At 46.9% G+C, this 22447-nt stretch overlaps 1 protein-coding gene across 38 annotated transcripts in view, besides 6 other annotated features; it reads left to right on the forward strand.

Moving 5' to 3' along the window:
• CLEC16A (C-type lectin domain containing 16A) overlaps positions 1-22447 on the forward strand; it is a 237623-nt gene that overhangs the window by 16794 nt on the left and 198382 nt on the right. For 20 of the 38 annotated variants that reach the window (NM_001410905.1, XM_047433848.1, XM_047433847.1 and 17 more), the window contains exons 3-9: positions 1098-1231; positions 7804-7952; positions 9768-9873; positions 11581-11704; positions 15868-16042; positions 17972-18025; positions 21521-21634. In NM_001410905.1, the coding sequence (NP_001397834.1) occupies positions 1098-1231; positions 7804-7952; positions 9768-9873; positions 11581-11704; positions 15868-16042; positions 17972-18025; positions 21521-21634 (856 nt within the window). Of the gene's footprint in view, positions 1-1097; positions 1232-7803; positions 7953-9767; positions 9874-11196; positions 11203-11580; positions 11705-15867; positions 16043-17971; positions 18026-21520; positions 21635-22447 lie in introns of all 38 variants that reach the window. The other 18 variants (NM_015226.3, XM_005255214.3, XM_011522434.3 and 15 more) reach the window with 1 other exon arrangement.
• Positions 4160-4239: an enhancer, noted in NCBI's record as "active region_10406". NCBI's record gives its function as "activates an Ori minimal core promoter by ATAC-STARR-seq in GM12878 lymphoblastoid cells {active_cell/tissue: GM12878}" and the evidence as "EXISTENCE:reporter gene assay evidence [ECO:0000049][PMID:35858748]".
• Positions 10175-10469: a silencer, noted in NCBI's record as "tiled region #12638; K562 Repressive DNase matched - State 5:Enh". NCBI's record gives its function as "represses a minimal TATA promoter and a strong SV40 promoter by Sharpr-MPRA in K562 cells {active_cell/tissue: K562}" and the evidence as "EXISTENCE:reporter gene assay evidence [ECO:0000049][PMID:27701403]".
• Positions 10793-10970: a silencer, noted in NCBI's record as "fragment chr16:11066007-11066184 (GRCh37/hg19 assembly coordinates)". NCBI's record gives its function as "represses an EF-1alpha promoter that drives an FKBP-Casp9 reporter gene in an ReSE screen in phorbol 12-myristate 13-acetate-treated (for megakaryocytic differentiation) K562 erythroleukemia cells {active_cell/tissue: K562(+PMA)}" and the evidence as "EXISTENCE:reporter gene assay evidence [ECO:0000049][PMID:32094911]".
• Positions 18545-19046: an enhancer, noted in NCBI's record as "H3K4me1 hESC enhancer chr16:11073759-11074260 (GRCh37/hg19 assembly coordinates)". NCBI's record gives its function as "activates a minimal SCP1, AML or CMV promoter by ChIP-STARR-seq in naive and primed H9 embryonic stem cells {active_cell/tissue: H9 hESC(naive and primed)}" and the evidence as "EXISTENCE:reporter gene assay evidence [ECO:0000049][PMID:30033119]".
• Positions 19047-19546: an enhancer, noted in NCBI's record as "H3K4me1 hESC enhancer chr16:11074261-11074760 (GRCh37/hg19 assembly coordinates)". NCBI's record gives its function as "activates a minimal SCP1, AML or CMV promoter by ChIP-STARR-seq in naive H9 embryonic stem cells {active_cell/tissue: H9 hESC(naive)}" and the evidence as "EXISTENCE:reporter gene assay evidence [ECO:0000049][PMID:30033119]".
• Positions 20613-20682: a silencer, noted in NCBI's record as "silent region_7196". NCBI's record gives its function as "represses an Ori minimal core promoter by ATAC-STARR-seq in GM12878 lymphoblastoid cells {active_cell/tissue: GM12878}" and the evidence as "EXISTENCE:reporter gene assay evidence [ECO:0000049][PMID:35858748]".

Raw genomic sequence — 22447 nt, forward strand, 5'->3', positions numbered from 1 at the left:
TGACCTCACCACTGTGGAGATGCCAGACGAGGACAGAGAGGCACCCACAACTGAGTCAGCCCGCAGGCACACCTCATTTCTTCCAAGTGTCCCAGATGCAAGATTATCTGGTGTTAGCTTGAGTACAGAGAACACATAACTAGAAACGTCATTCTCTTCCTTTAGAGAAAGGCACTGGATGGTCTGTTTCCTTTTCAAGACTGAAAGAGCCAACGTGTACCCCCAGAAGCCAGTGCCGCTAGGCTGTGTACAGACAAGTATCCTATCCACAAGGAGAAAGGCAGAAACAGACCTGGGGATGGGTTAGTAGGGTTTCTCCACCACATCAGTACCTGTGTATTTCTTTCTAGTTATTTTCCCCTAGAACTTGACAATTTGGGAGCCACAGTACATTTGGTTGTCATATCTCCCCAGCCTCCTCTGTTCCGTGACTCTTTTTTAGTCTTCTGTTGTTTTTACGACCCTGAAAGTTTTGAGAAATGCTGGCCAGGTCTTCTGTGGAATGTCCCCCAAAATGGGTTTGTCTCACTTTTCTCATGATTAAACTGGCAGTTAAGGGGAAGAAAACCGTAGGGCTAAAGCTTTTTGGGAACTTTTTTTTCTTTTTTTTCTTTTTTTTTTTTTTGGCTCTGTCACCCAGGCTGGAGTGCAGTGGCCTGATCATATCTCACTGCAGCCTTGAACTCCTGGGCTCAAGCGGTCCTCCCACCTTAGCCTCCTGAGTAGCTGGCACTTCAGGCATGCACCACCGCCTAATTTTTTTTTTCTTCTCTGTAGAGGTAGGGGTCTTGTTATTTTGCCCAGGCTGGGTCTTGAACTGGCCTCAAGCGATCATCCTGCCTCAGCCTCCCAAAGTACTGGGATTGCAGGCATGAGCCACTGTGCCCAGATCTAAAACTCATTTAATACTCATAATTATATCTTATTCCTTTGCTGGGAATTCCAGTTGTGGCGGGTGACAATGGGTGGCATGACCTGTGCAGATACCTTGGGGGAGAGGGGTGAATCTAATACTTGTGTTGTGAATGAAACCAGATAATAATTTCTGTTTCCACATGTGGAAGCAAGCCACTGATGCTTTTCCATTCTCTCCCCAGCTTCTTCCTGGAGAAGAATATGTTTGTTTTCTTCTTGAACATCTTGCGGCAAAAGTCGGGCCGTTACGTGTGCGTTCAGCTGCTGCAGACCTTGAACATCCTCTTTGAGAACATCAGTCACGAGACCTCACTTTGTAAGGACATTCCTTGGTATTTGCCTCTGTGCTGCTGTGCATGTAGCAGGGTGAAGTTGGGCGTGGTTTTCTGTGTCTGCGCTTACTATTCGTCGGCTCAGGCTATCCTAACAAAATACCATAGACTGAGTGGGTTAAACAATAGAGATTTGTTTTCTCACTGTTCTGGAGCATTGAAGTCCAAGATTGGCCAGGCATGGTATCTCATCCCTGTAACCCCAGCACTTAGGAGGCCAAGGTGGGCAGATCACTTGAGCTCAGGAGTTTGAGAACAGCCTGGACAACAAGGTGAAACCCCGTCTCTACAAAAAACCACAAAAATTAGCTGGGTGTGGTGGTGTGCACATGTAGTCCCAGCTACTCAGGAGGCTGAGGCAGGAAGATTGTTTGTCAAGGAAGTCGAGGTTGCAGTGAGCCGTGATTGTGCCACTGCACTCCAGCCTGGGTGACAGAGCAAGACCTTGTCTCCAACAACAACAAAAAAAAAAGTTCAAGATCAAGTTGCCAGCAGGGTTGGTTTCTAGTGAGGGCTCTCTTCCTGGCTTGCAGACGGCCACCCTCTTGCTGTGCATGGCCTTTCATCTGTGTGTGAGTGGAGAGAAATTGAGAGAGTGCTAGCTGGTGTCTCTTCCTCCTTCTATGGGGACGCCAGTCCTATTGGATGAGAACCCCCACCCTTATGACCTCATTAACCTTAATTACCTCGCCAAAGGCCCTGTCTTCAAATACAGCCACAATGGGGGTTAGAGCTTCAATGTAGGAACCTGAGGGAGACATAGTTCAGTCCCTAAGCCTGTGTTTGTTTCTGTGTGGTGGGTACTATCAGAGGGTTCCCCTCTGCTGATGATGCTGGGGGTGTTTGCAGTTCTTCTTTATGACTTGCTATTAAAGAGTTGGGGTCGCTGAATCATCAGCCAATGGAATAAGCACTGGAAGAAGTAAGACAAGGAAGATCTCTGCCAGAGGGCAGGCAAGGGTGTGTGCATTGGTACCAACCCTCCTGCTTCAGTCCCTCCACCCAGCTAGTGAGTGTGTGACTCCGAACTTCTTACCTGCCCTCACTAAGCCTCAGTTTCGTCATCCGTAATAACCACCCCTGAGAGGCAGGTGCCATCAGTGCTTTCATTTTAACACCCAGGCGCCAGCTCTAGCAAAGCCAGAATAGAGAAGGGGTTTCATCCCAGGCGATTAGCTCAGTGGTCTTCAGTGAGGGGACATTTGGCATCATCTAAAAACATTCTTGGGGGTGCTGCTGACATCTAGTGGGTAGAGGGTAGGGGTGCTGCTAAGGACAGGCCCCCCACAACAGGGAATTACCCAGCCCAAATTGTCCCCAGTGCCGAGGCTGAGAAACCCTGGTTTGGTTCCTAATCCTCCACGCTAGACTGCTAGCTTTGTTATTCCAAGGTGACTTCACCAAGCCCGGGCCCTGCCCGCCAGAAGTGGGGGACAAGTGGCCAAATGTCTATATCAGAGGCAGGCTCTAAGTCCCCAGGACAGGTCTGAAAAAAGTCTGCAGTGGGCAGAAAGAGGTAGAGATGGTGGCATTCCTCTGGCCAAGAGGGAGAGGTGAAAGGGCTGCTGAGTGATGGCTCTCGCAGCCGCCGCTAGGTGGTGCTGCTGCCTCAGAGACGCCTTATGCTTCCCGGTGACCGCAAGTTGACAAATGTGGGCCGACTCCTGTCTCCCTAAATGGTTTCCCTTGTTACCAGCGCCTGTTTCACTGGATGTGAAATGACTGCGGTTTCTAAAAGCTCTGAGGGGAAGATCCAGCTCAGTGGCACAGGCCCTTGACTCAGACTGAACCAGGTCCCAGGCCCAGTTCTGCCCCACACTGGCTCCCTGCACGTGCCTGGACAGTGAAGGCTCCGAGCTGCTGTTTGTGCATCTGTCAAGAGGAGAGCACAGTGGCTGCAGCATAGAGTGGCTGGGCGTGAGCGTGAGAGCAGGTGTTCAGAGCGAGGCACAGGGTCTGGCAGATAGGACATGGCCATGGTGTCGGTTTTATCCTTTAAGGCAACATCACCCTCAGTGTCCCTGCCCTGGGAAGCCTCTCAAAGTCCAGCTAGGCACGGGGTGACTGGATTGAGATGGGGGTGGGGCGATCAAAACTTACGGCTTTTAGAGTGTTTCTCTGAATTATGTGGCTTTTAAAAATTGTATATATTTAATGTGTACAACTTGATTTAATATATACATATACACAAAAAAATGTGTACATTGTGAAATAATCACGGCAATCAAGTGAATTAACATATCCATCACCTCACTTTTGTGCGTGTGTGTGGGTGGGGGTTGTGTGTGCACCTTGGGTGATGAAAATATGCAGTAGATCTGTTAGCAGATTTCAAGTCTGTAACACAGTAGGATGACCTGTAGTCACTGTGCTGTACATGAGAGCTCCGGAACTTACTCATCGTGCGTCGTACCCTTTGATCAGCGTCTCCCCATTTCCCTCCTCCCCAGTCCCTGGTAACCACCCTTTGACTCTCTGCTTCTATGAATTTGACTGTCTTAGATTCTCCCTGTAATTGAGATCATGCAGTATGCGTGGCTTTTCTTGTCCTGGCACCGAAAAGGGTGCCCTGCTGTGGGAAACCCAGGCAGATGCCCCTGGCTTTATAGCCCCTTCACCACAGTGCTTTTATAAGCCCTGCAAAAAGGGTAGAAATCATTGCACGTTTACAGAACTTGGATTTGTAAGGGGTGAGGAGGATAGAAGACCTTTGCTTTTATTTTTGTTTTCTAATCACAGAAGAAAAAATGTCCTCATTGTTAAATAACGAAAAGCCAAATGTTAGAAAAATGTAAAGTCAAGTTTCTGCAGAATTCAACCCTAACGATCCATTGTGCACCAGCCATTCTGCTGTTTGCTTTTCTTTTTCCCACCTTCCCAGTGTATCCTAGATCTCATTGTCCCGTTCTGTAACCCTGCCTGGTTTGGTTTAGGAGTGGCAGCTTGTTGTGCTATAATCTATTTAACCTGACCACGGGCATTTAGGTGGTTTCCAGCTTTTCACTATTACAAGCTACCATTTCACAAATGCACCTGTTGCCTGTTGGGGTTAGTGACCTAAGTGACAGAGTCCCGAGAGACTGAGATTACGTACAGGCTCCCGGGTTTATTAGAAAAGGATACCACAGAAAGTCAGCCACACAGTGAGGGGGTAGTAGAAAAATCCCAGCCTGATAATAGAGGCACCTCCAACTGTCCTATGGTGGCCCCCCACCACCCACAGAGTCATCTCTTGGAGGCCCTGGAAAAGTCCCTGCTGGGGAGTGGAGGGAGCCTGTCGCTGTTCCAGCTCCAGGGTACAGCTGAGAGACTCACAGTTGCACATCTGAAGCTCCCAGTATGGTGTCTGTGCTGCTGGTGGTCTGGAAGCCACTAGCCAGTCACAGCAGGGCTCAGTAAGACACCCCAACAGCTCCTTATCCTGCCAGCCCATTACCCCTCCCTACTTCTCCCCCAGCAAGAGCCAGAATGACACAGAAAGAAAAAGAAGTGCTCTGGGTATCAGAATCACCTGGGTGACACGATACCCATGTTAGACTCCAGGTGGATAAATAAACTGTGGACTATTCAGAGAATGTACTACTATATAGCAAAAAAGAAAAGAAAAAGGAAAAGGAAAGAAGGAATGAACTACTACCATTGCATACACAGCAACCTGGAAAGCCCTCAGATGTGGTAATAAGCGAAAGAGGCCAGACATAGGAAGTGTGCGTACTGTCTGCTTCCATTAGATAAGGTTCATGGACAGGCAAAACGAGTCTGATGTGCTAGAAGCAGAATAAGGGTTGCATTGGGGTAGCGGGTACTGACTGGGCAGGGGCATGAGGAAGTCTTCTGGAGAGCTGGGAATGTCAGATTTGGGATCTGGATGGTGCTTACACCGTGTGTATATGTAAAAATTCATCATGCTGGGCACTTAGGGTTATGTATCTATGTGTTTTATACGTAGATATACCCGAGGCTGGGTACTTTATAAGGGAAAGAGGTTTCATTGACTTACAGCTCAGCACTGCTGGGGAGGCCTCAGGAAACTTACAATCATGGCAGAAGGTGAAGCAAACACATCCTTCTTCACATGGCAACAGCAAGGAGAAGAATGAGTGCTCAGCAAAGGGGGAAGCCCCTTACAAAACCATCACATCTCGTGAGAACTCACTATCACGAGAACAGGATGGGGGAAACCACCCCCATGATTCAATTATCTCCACCTGATCCCTCCCACAACACGTGGGGATTATGGGAACTACAATTCAAGATGAGACTTAGTTGGGGACATAGCCAAACCATATCATACATATATGTGTGTGTATATTTCCACATATGTCAAGCTGTCCACTTAGGATTTGTGATATACATAACCCCATCTTTAAAAACATTAAGATTCCTAAGATTCTGCCTTAGACCCATTGACTCCTTGCTTGGAGGGATCCCCAAGCACTGCCTCAGTAGTGTTATGAGCAGGCGATTTTGAAAACTGCTCTTCTAAGACTACAAACCGCACAGCCTGTCTGCCATGCCTGCTCAGAGTGCACAGTGGCTTTTCTGAATGCAGTGGCTTTCCCGGAGAACTGACTTCCAAGGAGGACCACGCCACAGGCCCACACTGTGGCTTCCATCACGATCCCGGGCTCCCAGATTCCTCTTTGTGGTGTTTTTGATGATTCCCAACAGACTGTTGAGTTTGACTTTGATCGACCTCAGTTAGGTACCTCGACGGCTCCAAATAACTTAATGGTTTATTTCCTCTTCACCCAAGAGCAACTGTTTTCAGTCCTGGAATATGGTAGAGATTTTCTTTGTTTGTTTTGTTTTTAGAGACAGGTCTCACCCTGTCGCCTAGGCTAGTCTCCAGTGATACGATCATGGCTCACTGCAGCCTTGAACTCCTGGCCTCAAGCTGGGACCACAGGTGCACACCATCACACCTGGCTAAAGCTGAGATTTTGAATCTCCGAATAATAGTAATAATAATAAGAAGAATGGCAGTTAACATTATCGAGTGCTTGCATTGCGGCCCATGCTGTCCATTCACACAGCCAGTGAATCAGTGACTACTACTACTGTCCTGAGTGCTTTCTGTGCATTTTCTCCATTAACTCTTACCACTACTTCATGAGGAAGTTTTGGCTTCATGAAACTGGGGCGTGGGGAGGGTCAGCAGTTTGCCCAAGGTCACAGCACAGCTAGGAAGTGGCAGGGGCGAGATGTGGACACAAGCAGGCCAGTCCAAGTCCACGATTAAACCCAGAGCTTCCCAAACACTAGCACGCATGGGGAGCCCTGCACACTTCTCACATGCAGAGTGCTGGGCCCACCCCTGGAGATTCTGACTCCGTGGCGCAGGGCCGGGGCCCAAGATCCTACAGGTCTGACAAGCTCCGGGGTTGCTGTGCTCCCCATCTGAGGACAAGACTCTGAGTAGCGAGGCTCCAAACCATGCCCCCAGCAGGTGTGAATCGTGTTCTGCCTTTAGCTGTCCTGGGGGCCGGGCAGGTGAGCTGGTGCAGCACTCACACAACATTCCAAAGGACAGGCGATGGGACAGCAGTGCCTGCCTTGCAGGGTGGCTGGTAAGAACACAGAGGGAAATATGCCTGGCAAGGGCCCAACACTGAGATATCAAACTGCAGGCCATAGGCTGCAGCTGGCTAGTAGACATGTTTTTGCCGGCCAGCACAGCTTTAAAAGCTAGTTGATTTCAGTGGCAAACATGTCAGGATCAGGAGATGCAGTGTTGGAATCTGGTTTTGCCTCTCTTCACTGTTGAAAGCCCTCACCATACTGGCCTGCATTTCTGCAGGGCCAGGCGCTGGGAGCTGGGGAATGGGGTTGCTCTTCAGTTGACCCCAGTGCCCTTGGGCCCTCATCACCCAGTTTTCATTGTTGGGCCCCCATAATGCATGACAAACTCTGACATCAGACCTAAGTTTGAATCCCTTCTCTGTGACTGTCTCTGTGCACGGGTAAGTTAACATCTCCGAGATGTTTTTGCTCATCTGCAAAATGGGAAGAATGAGCAGGATCATGTGATGGTTAATGGTCATGTAAAGCACTCAGCCTAGTGGCCGGCATGTAGTAGGGATTCAGCAGGAAGGGACCTTTATGCAATCATGTTGCTATATAAGGAGGAAAAAAACCCTACTGTGGCCTTCAGAGTTGATGATGTGATTTGTGATGGCAGAAGGGGGCAGCTTTTTACCCTCATTCATGGGTGGTTTGTGAAAATGCCCACACACCAGCTAATCTCCCCCTACTCCCAGCTCTTTGTTGCACTTTGCCATCAATGAAAAGAAAATGTTGGAGTGTCTTTTTTTTATTTGGTGTGGGAGGGCGGGGAAGGGCTGTTCTCTGGTGATGCCTTTGAACTTCCTGGTGACTGTACATTGAAGATGATCTCTTTGCTGGTTAAAAGTTAAGCTCTTCCCAGTTAGTGTGTTTAATCCCAGCAACCCAGAGGCTTACCTGATTCAAGTACATTAACGTGGTCATCTGCTTGTTACCTGGCTTATCTTTCCTCCAGCATGAGTTAACCTGTTTTGTTTTTTTCTCCCTCTAGATTATTTGCTCTCAAATAACTACGTAAATTCTATCATCGTTCATAAATTTGACTTTTCTGATGAGGAGATTATGGCCTATTATATATCGTTCCTGAAAACACTTTCGTTAAAACTCAACAACCACACTGTCCATTTCTTTTATAATGAGGTAAGTAATTGCCAGAGGGGCACGTGTGGGTGTAAAGCCACACGTGGCTTTTTTTTTTTTTTTTTACGGCAGCGCCTTATATCTGGATGGTCTTGTGTCTGTTTACAAAGCTCTTATATGCTTGTTATGATTTTCATGGCAACACTTTTGACTTTGGCATGTTTAAAAAATTTTTTTAATTAAATAAGTTACCTTTCTATTAAAAAAATGTAATTCTTTGTAGAGACAGGGTCTTACTATGTTTCCCAGGTTGGCCTTGAACTTCCGGGGCACAAGCGATCCTCCTACCTTGGCCTCCCAAAGTGTTAGGATTACAGGCATGAGCCACAGCACCTGGCCAGCCTTTCCATTGTTAATGTAAAATTCAGTTTGTTCTGAGAGCTTTATACTTGGTAGAGAGGAGACATGCCCAGATGTTGTCTTGGGGAAGTGTTGCCCTGTGGGAAAAACAGGAACTCCAGTCAGGGCTGGTTTTGTCACTTCCCTGCTGTGTCACCTTAAGGAAGTCCCAGTCCCTTTCTGAACCTCAGTTTCCTCATCTGAGAAATGGGGATAAGAATATACATCTTGTAGGGTTATTAGGGGTTAAATTAAATGAGATGATGTCTTCAAAGTGCCAGTATGTACATAGCTCCCTAAAAGCATAGACGTTGCTATTGTTGATAAGATAATGTCCCTGACATTCTTTGGGAGAATTATTAAAATGAACAACTTAAATAAATAAATTGCTCCTGTCCTCACACCTAAAAGGGGTTTGAACAATAGGGTCAATGTATCACCCACACCAAAAGGTCCAGGCACTGGTCGTGCTGGGGCTGGTTCATCCTGTGGTTCAACAGTATCAGCGAGGACCCAGGCTTTCCCATCTTGCTGCTCTGCTGACTATACAGCTGGCATCCATCCTCAGGTTCAACCCCTCATGGTCACAGGTTGGCTGCCACTGCCAAAATGCCTGATGAGATCACTTCCCTTCTTGTGTCCCTTTTTAACTTCCAAAGAAAACTTTCTCAGAAGGTTCTCACCAGCCTTCCCCTCATGTTTCCCTGCATCCCACTGAGTACTTCTTAGGTGTCAGGTGCTGGGATAAGCACAAGACCAGAAATGATCTCATTTAATCTGGAAACCATAAAGTAGATGTTATTATCCCCATGTTATAGATGTAGAAACAGAGGTTTAGAAATACTGCATTGCACAGGTTAGAAGTGGTAGAATGGGTAATGAACCCAGGTCTGACATTATCTGGACTCATTTTCTTTTTAATTATAATTTTCAAAGTAGAGATGAGGTCTCGTCACATTGCCCAGGCTGGTCTCAAAACTCCTGACCTCAAGCAATCCCCCCTCCTTGGCCTCCCAAAGTGCTGGGATTCTGGGCATGAGCCACCACTCCCAGCCAATCAATCAGTGATTACTACTACTACCACTACTACTGCTCTTTTTTCTTTTTTCTTGTTTTGAGACAGGGTCTTGCTCTGTTGCCCAGCCTGGCGTGCAGTGGCACGATCACATCTCACTGCAGCCTCCAACTCCTGGGCTCAAGCCAACCTCCCACCTCAGCCTCTCCCAAGTAGCTGGTACTATGGGTGTGCACCACCACACGGACTTGGACTCTTCTGTTTCTTCCATGGCTTTGCCTTCCTGTCCCTTTCTACATGCCCCATTGGGAATGAACCACTGACTTACGGTTCACATTGGCAACATTTTTTTTTTTTTTTTTGTCTTTTTCTGAAGTCTCTGATGGAATTCAGAGAGTTGGGGTGGGGCCAGGCCTGGCTTATGGGCTTATAATTTGTTTTCGTTATTTCTTTTGTTTTAGCACACCAATGACTTTGCCCTGTACACAGAAGCCATCAAGTTTTTCAACCACCCTGAAAGCATGGTTAGAATTGCTGTAAGAACCATAACTTTGAATGTCTATAAAGGTAAGTGTCCTCATGGGCTTGTGTCTCGGCTGATTTCTGACTTGGCAGCAAGCACTCACTCCCGTGTGTGTGCGTACAGTTCTCCGATTGTCACGAGGGAGCACATTGATGATGAGCCGTGGCAGCTTCTCTCATGAAAAACTTGGAATCCCCTAGCATTTAGCTGGCCGCTCATGGAAATCCTTGCCTTCTCCAGGCATGTCGAAGTCTTGCTCATGCTGCTACATAGAAGTAGGATGTCCTGAGAGGCACGTGTGGGATTCAGAGTGGCTATGTTTTAGAATTTGAGAAAGCAAAGTTGTCTTTTTAATGTGTCATTTAAATTTTTGTGTCTTGGCTTGTGAAATATACTTTAATACAGCTAAGGGGTAATTTGACTTTTAAGTAATATATAAAAGCATGTCACATTGTGAACAGCAGGGGGCAATGTTGTATTCCCAACAGGCTGCAAAGCCCAGCACTAACAATTCCTCCTTTCCCTCAAGATGTTCTTAATGCCCAAAACATTGCCCCAGGGAAAAAGCCATTCCCCCACTCTCCGCTGCACTGACACAAAGGCTGCCTGGCCACAAGTTTCCTGAACTGGAATTGCCCTTCCAAGGCGATGCTTGGAAGTTCTCTGCCTAATTCCTGGGTTATTTTCCCCGGAGTCACCACAGTGGAGATGGGACTATTTTCTCAGGGATGAAAGGGCTTTGACTTTCATGAGCCAAAATGTTATTACTCCCTAATGAGGGTGGGGGCTTCTCAGGGACTCACTCCAGCCTAGCACTGGGCTTACATTAAATTTAAGAACCTTTCTAAGAGCCCAACTGGACCCACCCAGGGGTCGCAAACTGAGGACCTGTGGGCCATATCCAGCCATCAGACATGTTTTAACTGGCTTAGTTTTTGAAAAAATGTGTAGTTGCCAGTATTTAAAAATTGGGAGATCTTCCATGATAATCTGGATTTGCACCTTGAAGATGTAGATTTGGCTAGTCAAGGCCCACAGTCCTGCAGTTGGGGGGGTCAGCTGGCACAGAAGCAGCTGCCCCTTTGGGGTCAAGGCCCGTGCTCCCAGGTCACACGCTGGACCTCTGGCAACTAGCCAACGTGGCAGGCTTGTAAGATTGTGACCCTGGTCCAAGCCACAGTTGGTTCTGCTGCCTCCTGCTCTGTTTTCTCCTGTCTCCTTCTAACCTTATCTCTCTGTGCAGATGCCTCCCACCCTAGTCTCTCTCCCTCTGAGCAGCTCTCTCACCTTCCCAGGTCCTAACCCTGTTAACTGTTGTCTGTTTTTTGCTTTTCCTTCAATGACGATTCCTGTGTTCCTTATTCCAGTGTCATGTAAGTTATTAACCTCTGGTTTTCTGCTTTCTTAATCTACCCTTATATGTAAATACCTTGCTTGAGAATGGTGTAATTCTCAGTGTAGTCTAGCTCAGTCTGCTACTGATAAGTAGGCTCTCCCATGCACCATTAATGTTTAGCCCAACTAATTTATTTTTAAGTATAAAATATCATAAGAACTGCCTTGATGACTATAGTTTTATGAATAAGATAAACATTTTTAAGTATTTCCAGGAAAGACAGACAATTTCAGATTATAGCAGAGGGCTTTTTCATTGTGGTTTTTGGGTTTTGCTTTGTTTTTGTTTTTTTTTTAATCTTCCCCAAGTTATTTTTGGTAGCTTGACTTTTTTTTTCTTCTGTGAATTTTCTCAGTGGATAACCAGGCCATGCTGCACTACATCCGAGATAAAACTGCTGTTCCTTACTTCTCCAATTTGGTCTGGTTCATTGGGAGCCATGTGATCGAACTCGATGACTGCGTGCAGACTGATGAGGAGTAAGTGACACCCCCAGGGCCACTCAGTAGATAGACAGGGTGGTTAGGGGAGAATTCTGTTTTCATCAAGGAAAAATAAACACAAGAACCGCACTTCCCTACCTCTGTGTAGGCAGAGCATGGACTTCCGTACTGTAAAAGGTCCTGCTCACCTATTTGTAATAATGAAATGCTGGAAACAACTCAGACGCCTCCCAGAGCAGGCGGGGTAAATCAATTCAGTACAGCCATAGATGGGGCTGCTACGCAGCTGGTGAGAAGGTCAAGGGGCTCTGTCAGCTGATGAATGCATTAACAAAATGTAGTCTGTCTGTACGATGGAATAGTGTTTGGCGATAAAAAGGAATGAAGTGCTGACACTTGGTGTGGCGTAGATGAACCTCAAAAGCATTATGCCTAGTGAAATGCCCAGAATAGGTGAATCTATAGGGGCAGAAAGTAGATTCGTGGTTTCCTAGGGCTAGGATGTTGTGTGGGGACATAGGAAGCAACTGCTAATGAGTATAGGGCTTTTTTTTCTTTTTTGAGACAGAGTATTGCTCTGTCACCCAGGCTGGAGAGCAGTGGGGTGATCATGGCTCACTGCAGCCTTGACCTCCTAGGTTTAAGCATTCCTCCTGCCTCAGCCTCCCAGGTAGCTAAGACCACCAGGCCTGTGCCACCATGCCCAGCTAATTTTTTTGATTTTTAGTAGAGATGGGGTTTCGTCATGTTGCCCAGGCCAATCTTGCATTCCTGGGCTCAAGCAATCCTCCTGTCTCGGCCTCCCAAAGTGCTAGGATTACAGGTATGAGCCATACATCCGGCCAAGTAAGGGGCTGCTTGCTTTTTTTTTTTTTTTTTTTTTTTTTTTTTTGAGACAGAGTCTTGCTCTGTCTCCCAGGCTGGAGTGCAGTGGTGCAATCTTGGCTCACTGCACCTCTGCCTCCTGGATTCAAGTGATTCTTCTGCCTCAGCCTCTGGAGTAGCTGGGATTACAGGCATGCACCACCACGCCTGGCTAATTTTTGTATTTTTAGTAGAGACAGGGTTTCACCGTGTTGGCTAGGCTAGTCTTGAACTCCTGACCTCATGATCCACCCACCTGGGCCTCCCAGAAGTGCTAGGATTACAGGTGTGAGCCACTGTACCCAGCCATAAGGTGCTTTTTTTTGCAGGGGGGATAACAGTGTTCTAAAATTGACTGTGATCATGGTCAGGCAACTATGTGACTCTACCAAAAACCATTACATTGTGTACTTTAAATAATTGAATGTTATGGAATGTGAATTATACTTCAATAAATCTCTTTTAAAAAACAGATTAGGATGGTGGTTTTGTCCTCAAAGGGATGATTAGAAGTTCCAGAGCAGGATTTCTTTCCCTTGGCTCTATTGACCTCTTGAACTGGGCACCATTGTTGGGGGGGCTGTCCTGTGCGTTGTAGGATTTTTAGCAACATCGCCAGCCTCTCTACCTGCTAGATGCCAGTAGCACCCCTCCCCAGTCGTACCAACCAAAAATGTCCCCAGACATTGCCAAATGTCCCCTTTAAGGCAAATTCACCCTCACTTGAGAACCACTGCTCCAGGGTGACAGCTTTGCCCAGGCCTAGTGAGAGGTGCACCTAGATGGGGTCAGGATGCTAAAGGGACCAGGGCAGACCCATTGGAGCAATTGGGAAAGCTAGAAGCCTTATGGATTTAAACAGTCATGGATGCGAGACATAATGAGACACTTAACTATAGAAAGAACAAAGTTATACAAGCAAGGAAATGAAATCATAGTCCTCTATTTGGCTCCACAGGGAATGTTATGACATCAACCCCAATTACTGATAACTACTTGTGGGGAAGGGGCAGAGAGAATGGAAGAGTTCTGTCATAACAGGAGGTCAATAGATAATACCTAAAATGGCTCAATTGCAAAATAGGAGTCCATGCAGATTTTCTAGAAATATGGGAGGAACTATCTGCAGAAACAAGTAACTGCCTCTGGACAGTGAGGAGAAGTAGAGGAGGGCTGGGTGCGGTGGCTCACACCTGTAATCCCAGCACTTTGGGAGGCTGAGGCGGGCAGATCACTTGAGGCCAGGAGTTGAAGACCAGCCTGGCCCCATCTCTACTAAAAATACAAAAATTAGCCAGACATGGTAGTGCACCCCTGTAATCCCAGCTACCAGGGAGGTCAAGGCAAGAGAATTGCTTGAACCTAGGAGGTGGAGGTTGCAGTGAGCTGAGATCGCACCACTGCACTCCAGCCTGGGTGACAGAGCAAGACACTGTCTCAAAGAAAAGAAAAAAACAGTGGAGGAGGCGAGTCTGGGCCAGGAGCTGCTCTTTTTCATTATCAGCTTATCAATGCTATTTGAGTTTTAAACCTAGCTGCATATATTACTTTGATATTTTTTAAACCAAAGTATTAAAAAGTGAGGCACTTTAAATATACCATTAGAGAAAATGTTCCAAAGTATCTTATTAAGTGGGAGAAAAGTGCAAAACATTGTGCATAAATGTTCTAGGTCTCAGGCGCACGGTGGGTTCATAGACATTCATTATACTGTTAGGCTTTACAACATGTATTTGCTGTAAATATTTACCAAATATCTTTTTTCTTTTCTTTTTTGAGATGGAGTCTTGCTCTGTCACCCAGGCTGGAGTGCAATAGTGCAATCTTGGCTCACTGCAACCCAATCTCCCAGATTCAAGTGATTCTTGTGCCTCGGCCTCCTGAATAGCTGGGACTACAGGTGCATGCCACCACCCCTGGCTAATTTTTTTTTTAATATTTTTAGTAGAGACGGGTTTCACCATGTTGGCCAGGCTGGTCTCGAACTCCTGACCTAAAGCAATCTGCCTGCCTTGGCCTCCCAAAGTGCTGGGATTACAGACATGAGCCACTGCACCCAGCTGAAATATCTTGTTGAAGTATAAGAAATAATTGGCTGGGCATAGTGGTTCATGCCTGTAATCCTACCACTTTGGGAGGCCGAGGCAGAAGGATCACTTGAGTCCAGGAGTTTGAGACCAGCGTGGGCAACATGGTGAGACCCCTCCACCCTCTATGAAAAATTTTTAAAAATAGTTGGGCATTGTAGCAGGTGCCTGTAATCTGAGATGCTTTGGAGGCTGAGGTGGGAGGATCCCTTGAACCTGGGAGGTTGAGGCTGTAATGAGCTGTGCTCATGCCACAGCACTCCAGCCTAGGTAACAAAACAAGACCCTATCTCAAAAAATAATAATAAATAAATAAAAGGAATAATTATCCAGAATTATGTAAAAGAAGCAGAATTGATCTTGTTTTTACTTTTTTTTTTTCAAGTATATACAGTTAGACGGATAGAAATGTGACATCTATATTTTAGATGTGACTACTACTAGGAGAGGTAAAAATGTAGAAAAAACAGACATTAGGGTTATAAGTCCCAAAATGTTAATAGTGGATATTTGTTAGTGGTGGGTTTGAGACTTTGAATTCTATTTGCTTTTATATTTTAATTTGCTGTTGTCAAAAATGATCATCTATCAGTTGGGTAATAACAACAATACAAACAAAATGCCTAGCTAGCATTTGCTGCATACTCCTTGGGGGTGGTGAAAGCATCCTCACCAGCTGTTTCTGGAGTGTGAGACTGACTCCACCCAAGAGACATTACCCCCTGGCCCCCCATCCCCAGCATGCTGTTGCTAACTGCTGGGAGACGGAGACCTCCAGGGCAGGGGCCTGGGGGAGGGGTGTCATGTCTTTGCTCTATGTCTGCATGTCGTCAGGGCCACTGGGGTGGCCACGGCTCTGGAGGCCTGCTTTTCTCTTTAGAACTCCTCTGGAGCATTTTAATTACAGTGGATTTATTGCTCCATTAGTGCTGCTTATCTGGGGAGCCAGGGGATCTTGCCACAGTGGCTAGTAGCTGTGCTTATGCAGTGGCTTGCTGGAAGAGTTTAGCAGCATTTTGCTTTGTTTACCTCATTCTGGGAGACCCCAGCAGTCCCCTGAAATTGATTTTAGTAAACCTGCCCATTTTCCCTTGTATATCTCCCCAGTAGGGGCCAGGATAAGTGTCTCTTGAGACTAACTCAAATATGTGGATGAACTCACAGTGACCTAAGTCTCAGGCCATTGATGTTAGGCTCAAAGGCTCCTAGTGTTGGCCTCCAGGCTGAGGTGGTCATTTCTCCTGGCAGGCATCGGAATCGGGGTAAACTGAGTGATCTGGTGGCAGAGCACCTAGACCACCTGCACTATCTCAATGACATCCTGATCATCAACTGTGAGTTCCTCAACGATGTGCTCACTGACCACCTGCTCAACAGGCTCTTCCTGCCCCTCTACGTGTACTCACTGGAGAACCAGGACAAGGTGGGTCCAGCCCCGTGGCTCCCGCTGGCTGAAGGCCATCAGAAGTGGGGAAGAACAGTCCCCAGTCCCCTGGAATGGGGCTGAGCATTGCAAATCAGGACTGAGGTTTTTTTTTTGTTTGTTTGTTTTTAAAAGACGGAGTTTTGCTCTTTTACCCAGGCTGGAGTGCAGTGGTGCGATCTTGGCTCACTGCAACCTCCGCCTCCTGAATTCAAGTAATTCTCCTGCCTCAGCCTCCCGAGTAGCTGGGATTACAGGTGCATACCACCACGCCTGACTAATTTTTGTACTTTTTGGAAGAGACGGCGGCATTTCACCATGTTGGTCAGGCTGGTCTCAAACTCTTGACCTCAGGTGATACACCTGCCTGGGCCTTCCAAAGTGCTGGGATTATGGCCAGAACTGAGGTTTTGAGCCCAAGGGAGATTCCTTTCAAAGCACACTGGCTTTCCTTTCCTTTCCTTTCCTCTTATTTCCTGAGACAGAGACAGAGTGTGTGTGTGTGAGAAGACTATAAAAGTGAATGAGAAAAGATTACCGACATCAGGAGGAAACAGGAAACATCTACAAATGTAGGGTTTTGGTTTCTGTGCATCCTTCCCTGAAGTGTTCTCCTCCCCAGTAACTTTTCCTGGTAGTTGCCAGAACCCACTGATTTGGAGAAGATACAGACAGCGACAGAACTTGCGCAGCATGGAGGGAAGGGATGGAGCACACTCAGGGAACGGTCCCAGGGTGGTGACTGTCCACTGTTAGCAGGCCCCAGAGGCCTGTGGGGATGACGGCTGGTAACATGCAGGGCCTCAGGACCAGGAATCTGCATGTCTCACCTATCCCTCAGGTGATTCTGATTCTGTGCTGCTGGTTCTCAGGGCCCCCCTGTGAGGAATGCTGCTTCTGGAGGGGAGGCCTCTGTGCAGTTCCTCCGGAGGTAAAAGGGCCTCAGCAGGAGGCAGGACAGAGCCAGCTGGTCACCATGCAGAGGTGCTCCAAGGGGATGGAGTTTTCAAGATTCTCACTACAGATGAGTAAATAAAAGAAAGTGTATTTTTAGTAGAAACGGGGTTTCACCATGTTGGCCGGGCTGGTCTCAAACTCCTGATCTCAGGTGATACGCCTGCCTCGGCCTCCCAAAGTGCTGGGATTACAGGCATGAGCCACCGTGCCCAGCCAGGACTGAGGCTTTGAGCCGGAGGGAGACTCCTTTCAAAGCACGCTGCTTTTCCTTTCCTTTCCTCTTATTTCCTGAGAGACAGAGACAGAGTGTGTGTGTGAGAAGACTATAAAGGTGAATAAGCGCCTTAGCTTTACCAGAGGCAGCTCTGGGAGGCAGAGACAAAGTATGAGAATTGGAGTTTTCAGACCTGCATTCAAATTCTGCCTCTTCCCTTTCCTAACTCTGTGACCTAAAGCAGTTAACCTGAGCCCGTTTCTTCGGCTGCAAAATGAGGGCCTAACTATTCTTCTCTAACAGGGTGGGTGTGAAATGGAGCATCTTGAAATTCATTATAAACGAGGGGCTTTTCCAAGGCCAGAGTGCCCTAAACCTCCTCCCCCATGCTTTGAAAATAACTTCCCAAGAACAGGCCTCCTGGAGGCCTCTCCTGCCGGGGCGTCCAGTGCCCCAGCTGGTACAAATGAACGTGCTTGGTAACTTAAGGAGCAAGTTCTCGTGGGTCAGCCTCTCATCCGTGAGTAATGGTGAAAGGTTTCTCAGATGGAAAAATAGTGTCCTTGCAAACAGTATTGAGTGGGATTTTGCGGAGTGGACTTTTGAGTAGCACCAAGAAAGGACAGCCCTAGGGCCGTGGAGGAAGTCAGTGGGACAGGACGCCTTTGTTCACACAGAAGGCTTTTGGCTTTGTGTATTTTGTGCTGCTCGCTTGTGTGACCTGATCTCTCTCTCTCTCTCCTGCCACCCTGCACTAGGGAGGAGAACGGCCGAAAATTAGCCTGCCGGTGTCTCTTTATCTTCTGTCACAGGTATGCTTGATCATTCACCAATGTCCCCACTACATTTGGGGTCCCTTGGCGTGCCACTGCCTTGAAGAAAATCCCCAGGCCTTATCACCCCATCTTCTCTGTCCCCCCCATGCTGGAGTAAAATAACAGCAAAACAGAAGGGGCTTTCTGTTTTCCAGGTACTAAATAGAGGTAGTGTGTATCTTTTTCATGGTAGGAGATGGAAATCCAAAGAGAAATGAAAAATAAACCAAACCTAACTTGTATAGTTGATTTTTACCATGAAGACTGAGGTTTCCAAAACAACTGAGGAGTGCTTGAAATGCCCTGGAAATGTGGGCTGCATCGCTTTTACTCCTGCAGCTTTGAATGAAGCCCCACACTGCAGAACCCACAGCGTGCATACACACAGCAACCTTGGTGTAACAAACTTCCTGAAATGAGTCTATTGTTAAAGGGCTTTATCGCGGTTCTAGTTCCCAGATTACCGTGTGGAAGGAATCTTGTAGCAACCTTAGCTCTCAGATTTGTGTCTTGAGCCAATTTATCTCCCTCCCCTCCTTCAACAAGTGTGTTTCCTTCATGTAATTATGTAATATTTACAAGAAGGGAAAAACTCCATGGCGACCCAGTTACATAACTTTAAAAATATTTTTATTACAAGCAGTCCAGACTCTCAGGGCATCTCATTAGACTATTAAGTAGTCCAGCATTTACCCAGAATTCTGTTTCCGCTTTTGCAATGGCACAGGTATTTATTTGCTTTGATGAGGAACTGTCCTTCTGACTTGATCCCCAGCTGTTTTGAATTTGGGGCGGGGCTTTGTCTTTTTGGCCCAAGAGGAGAGGTTCAGAGGCCACCTCCTCCCCGGCAGGTAGGCCAATCCGGACATGTCCTGACCATCACTCACAGCCCAGAGTCCTATTCTGGGGCTATTTGCTCAGAGCTCTGCACGAGGCCAAGTTTGTCTGAATGCCGCTCTGTACGACGGCGCTGAGCATAAACCCCAGCCTCTCCTGGCAGCTTTTTTCTGCTGCCTCTTTCCAAGTCTGCCGGCATCTCCTGCTTGAGATTCTGAGAGTCCAACAGGACCCAAGCAAGCCAGTTCTCAGCCCCAGGAATCATATGGAAAGCATCCTCAGGACCCTTCAGCTGTTGGAGCATTGCCCGGGCAGGGTCTCCTCCAGAGAGCATGGCCGCCAACTGCCCACAGCGGGAACGTCAGTGGAGAGAGTTAGGACTTTTCTCTGAGACTCCTCCCTCACCGGTTTGCTTTGTAAAGGACCAGTAGCCCATGCACCCAATTACTTGTTTCAGTATCTCACAGAAAACATAGCTTGTAATTCATTGTTCCTCAAACTTGAGTAATACATCCCTTTTAAAGATAAACAACCTGAAGCCCTGTTTCCCCCTGCATTTTCATTTAGCTTAATGAAAATGTGACCTAAATGTGTGAAAAACCTAAAATCAGGTATAAATCCTGTGTCCTGAAAGCCCCTACTTCAATATAAAATCATTGCATACTTGCAAATTATTTTACAAGCATAGCTAGAAAACCATGAAAATTTTTATGGATGACGTTAATTTGGTGTGACAGGTGATGCTGTCCTCCTAAAACCAAACTGCTAACAGAGTGTGGTGTAGGCAGCTGGGCCCAGCTTTTTGAGTCTGGCCTGCACGTGCTTCCACGTACCTTACAGTTACTCACCCTCCCTCTTTTTTGGGTTCAGAGCCAGGGAAATGAGCACTGTGTGTGTCCACAGGCAGGAATTGGTTGCTTTGTTCAGGGGGGCCTTTGTAGGTGCTCACTGAATGCTTGTGGACTGAAAAGAAGGAATAAATGATCAGTTAAGGCCGCATTCATTCAAGGTACGTAACGGATATTTGAGAATGAATGACCACAGTGATTGGTGTTTTGTGTTGTTGGTAGAGTGATGTGTGGCAGTAATTCGGCCATAAGGAAGGTGAGAAAAATCATCATTGCTAACATTTAAGGGCCTGCCAAGCCTTGGACGTGGGTTAACTCATTGAATCATACTATGTGGTCTCTGTGATAGAAAAGGTTCCCAGTATTTTTTTAAAAGATGCAATTTTTTATAGGGAGGTGCCACATGGCCATTCTGCCTGTACCTTTTATCTAATTTGAATTCTATGTATTTGTTAGAATAATATATTCCCCTTGTTCAAACAGTACAAAACATGGCATGTGAAAAGTCTCTCTCACTCTATACCCTGAGCACCCAACTGCACTCCCCAGAGGCAGCCTGTGTTGATTTTTGCCTTCACTTTTTAAAAAATAATTTTTTTTAAACAACGTTTTTTAAAGTTAAAAAGTTCAAACATGTAAAAACCGGGTTTCTGTTCTAGTTTTGTTCAGGCTCCTGACTTCTATCCCCAGAGACAATTAGGGTTACAGGGTTCTCGTATGTCCTAACAGAGACATCTGTCAGGGGTTCTTAACTAGGGGCAATTTTGCCCCTCAGGGGATACCTGGCAGTGTCTGGGGAGATGCATTCAGTTGTCATGACCGAGGCTGGGGTGCTACTGACATCTAGTGGGTGGAGGTCAGGGATGCTGCTCACCAGCCTGCAGTGTCTGGGACAGCCTCCCTCCATACTCAGTTATAGCCCAAATTGTCAGCAGTGCCAAGATTGAGAAACCCTGGCCTATGCATATGTAAATAAGCAAATACAAACATGCACACGCTTTTCTATGCAAATGGTAGATAAGCCACACCCTGTGCTACACCCTCTTGCCTTTACATTTTAAAACAAAATAGCAGGCATGTCTAGGCCAGCTTTGCAAGACAGTTTTGAATACCCTGATTCTTAAAGCTGGTCCTCTGAACATTGGGCAACAGGTGTGGGAGCAGGGCCAGCTTAGCCCAGAGGCAGCCCTCTGATTTTGCATCCTGGCCCACCTGGGTTTGCCTCTGTCTCGTGTGATTTTCAGCCCCGTAGTTCACATACCTCCTGACGATGCTGTGGAATCCCCGTGTGCTAAAACCCACCACAGGGTCAGAGCTCCCTCCCGTGATGGAATCTCTGTGTAGCCAACCCTCTGCCAAGTCCTTGATTGGAACAAAACTCTCCGGCCCCTTCTTCTTGTATCACTAAAGTATTGGGACAGTGCCTTCTAGTCTTCTCATAACCAAATTTGACACTAAAATGCCCATGGAAAGGAAGGAGTGTGCTGGTTTGGCTGTTCTTTCCCGCATTGCTCCACTTCAGCCGGATTTGGCTTCACCCAGCCATGAGGGACAGTCTCGCATTAATGCACTTCCTTCCGAGGAAGAGCAGCCAGCCAAATAGGCAACAGTCTGAAGGAGAGACTGACCTTACAAGAGTGGAACCGAGTCCTGCTTCCTGTGGCTCATTCTTTGAATTTTGCATCGTAGGAATTGCTGCTTAATACAGGACTTAGGTAGCCCAGCCTGGTCGCTTCTGATCCAGGAAGCAAGAGGTTGAAAATACCGCACACTTTCATGCAAATCCCGTTTCTTTTTTTTCCGCCAGGTCTTCTTAATTATACATCATGCACCGCTGGTGAACTCGTTAGCTGAAGTCATTCTGAATGGTGATCTGTCTGAGATGTACGCTAAGACTGAACAGGATATTCAGAGAAGTTCTGTAAGTCATTAGCTTCGGGACTGACCTTAACAGGAAACCATTGCTCATTTTGCTAATCTGTGTGTTTCTCTAAAATCAGAAACTAACATTCTGAATATATAGCAGTGATGATGCATAAGCTGGTCCGGGATTCAGTGAACCTAATCAGAGTCTTGATTGCATACCCAAGAGAAGCTGGGATCAGGGACCACCTGGATTTGATTGATTGTGTGTTCTTAAACATGGAATTGTACCACTCCGGGCCTTAGGTTGCATATCTGTGAGACACTGTTATCGGGACACAGTGAGAAAATGCCTTATCAGAGGAACTAATGTCTACAGAAGTTGGGCGATGAACATCCATGAATGACTCAGGCCCCAGGTGAGGGCAGTAGAGAGTGGCGAGGGGTGTGGCAAATTGGAGAGTGTATGCCACCTTGGCGAGCAGCTCCTGTTCTACCCCAGGCTGCTGCTGTTCTGCAGGAATATGGATGTAGGATTACTAGGTTTTTTCATGTTTCTAGAGAAGCGGGAAAAACGCATTGTTACGTGTAATCTCTAGTTTTAAATGATCATCAAGCTTTGGACTAAGTAGCATGTTTGTGGTCTGCAGGAAGGAGCTTTGGCGTTCCATTTGGTACACTGCTGAGGGAAAACACCTGATGGCCAGTGTTGTGACTTCTCTTGAAGCTTTTCCATCTTGTCCTCTGTATATCTCTGCTGTCATCTCTCAGATCCTGCTCACATGTCCTGAGCTCCAGCTGCCTTAATCCTGGTCTGACTTGCTTTTCCCCCAGCATGTCCAGCATTTGTGCCTTTGAACCTGCGCCTTTA

The sequence above is a fragment of the Homo sapiens genome, chromosome 16, assembly GCF_000001405.40.
Source record: "Homo sapiens chromosome 16, GRCh38.p14 Primary Assembly".
Lineage (NCBI taxonomy): Eukaryota > Metazoa > Chordata > Mammalia > Primates > Hominidae > Homo > Homo sapiens.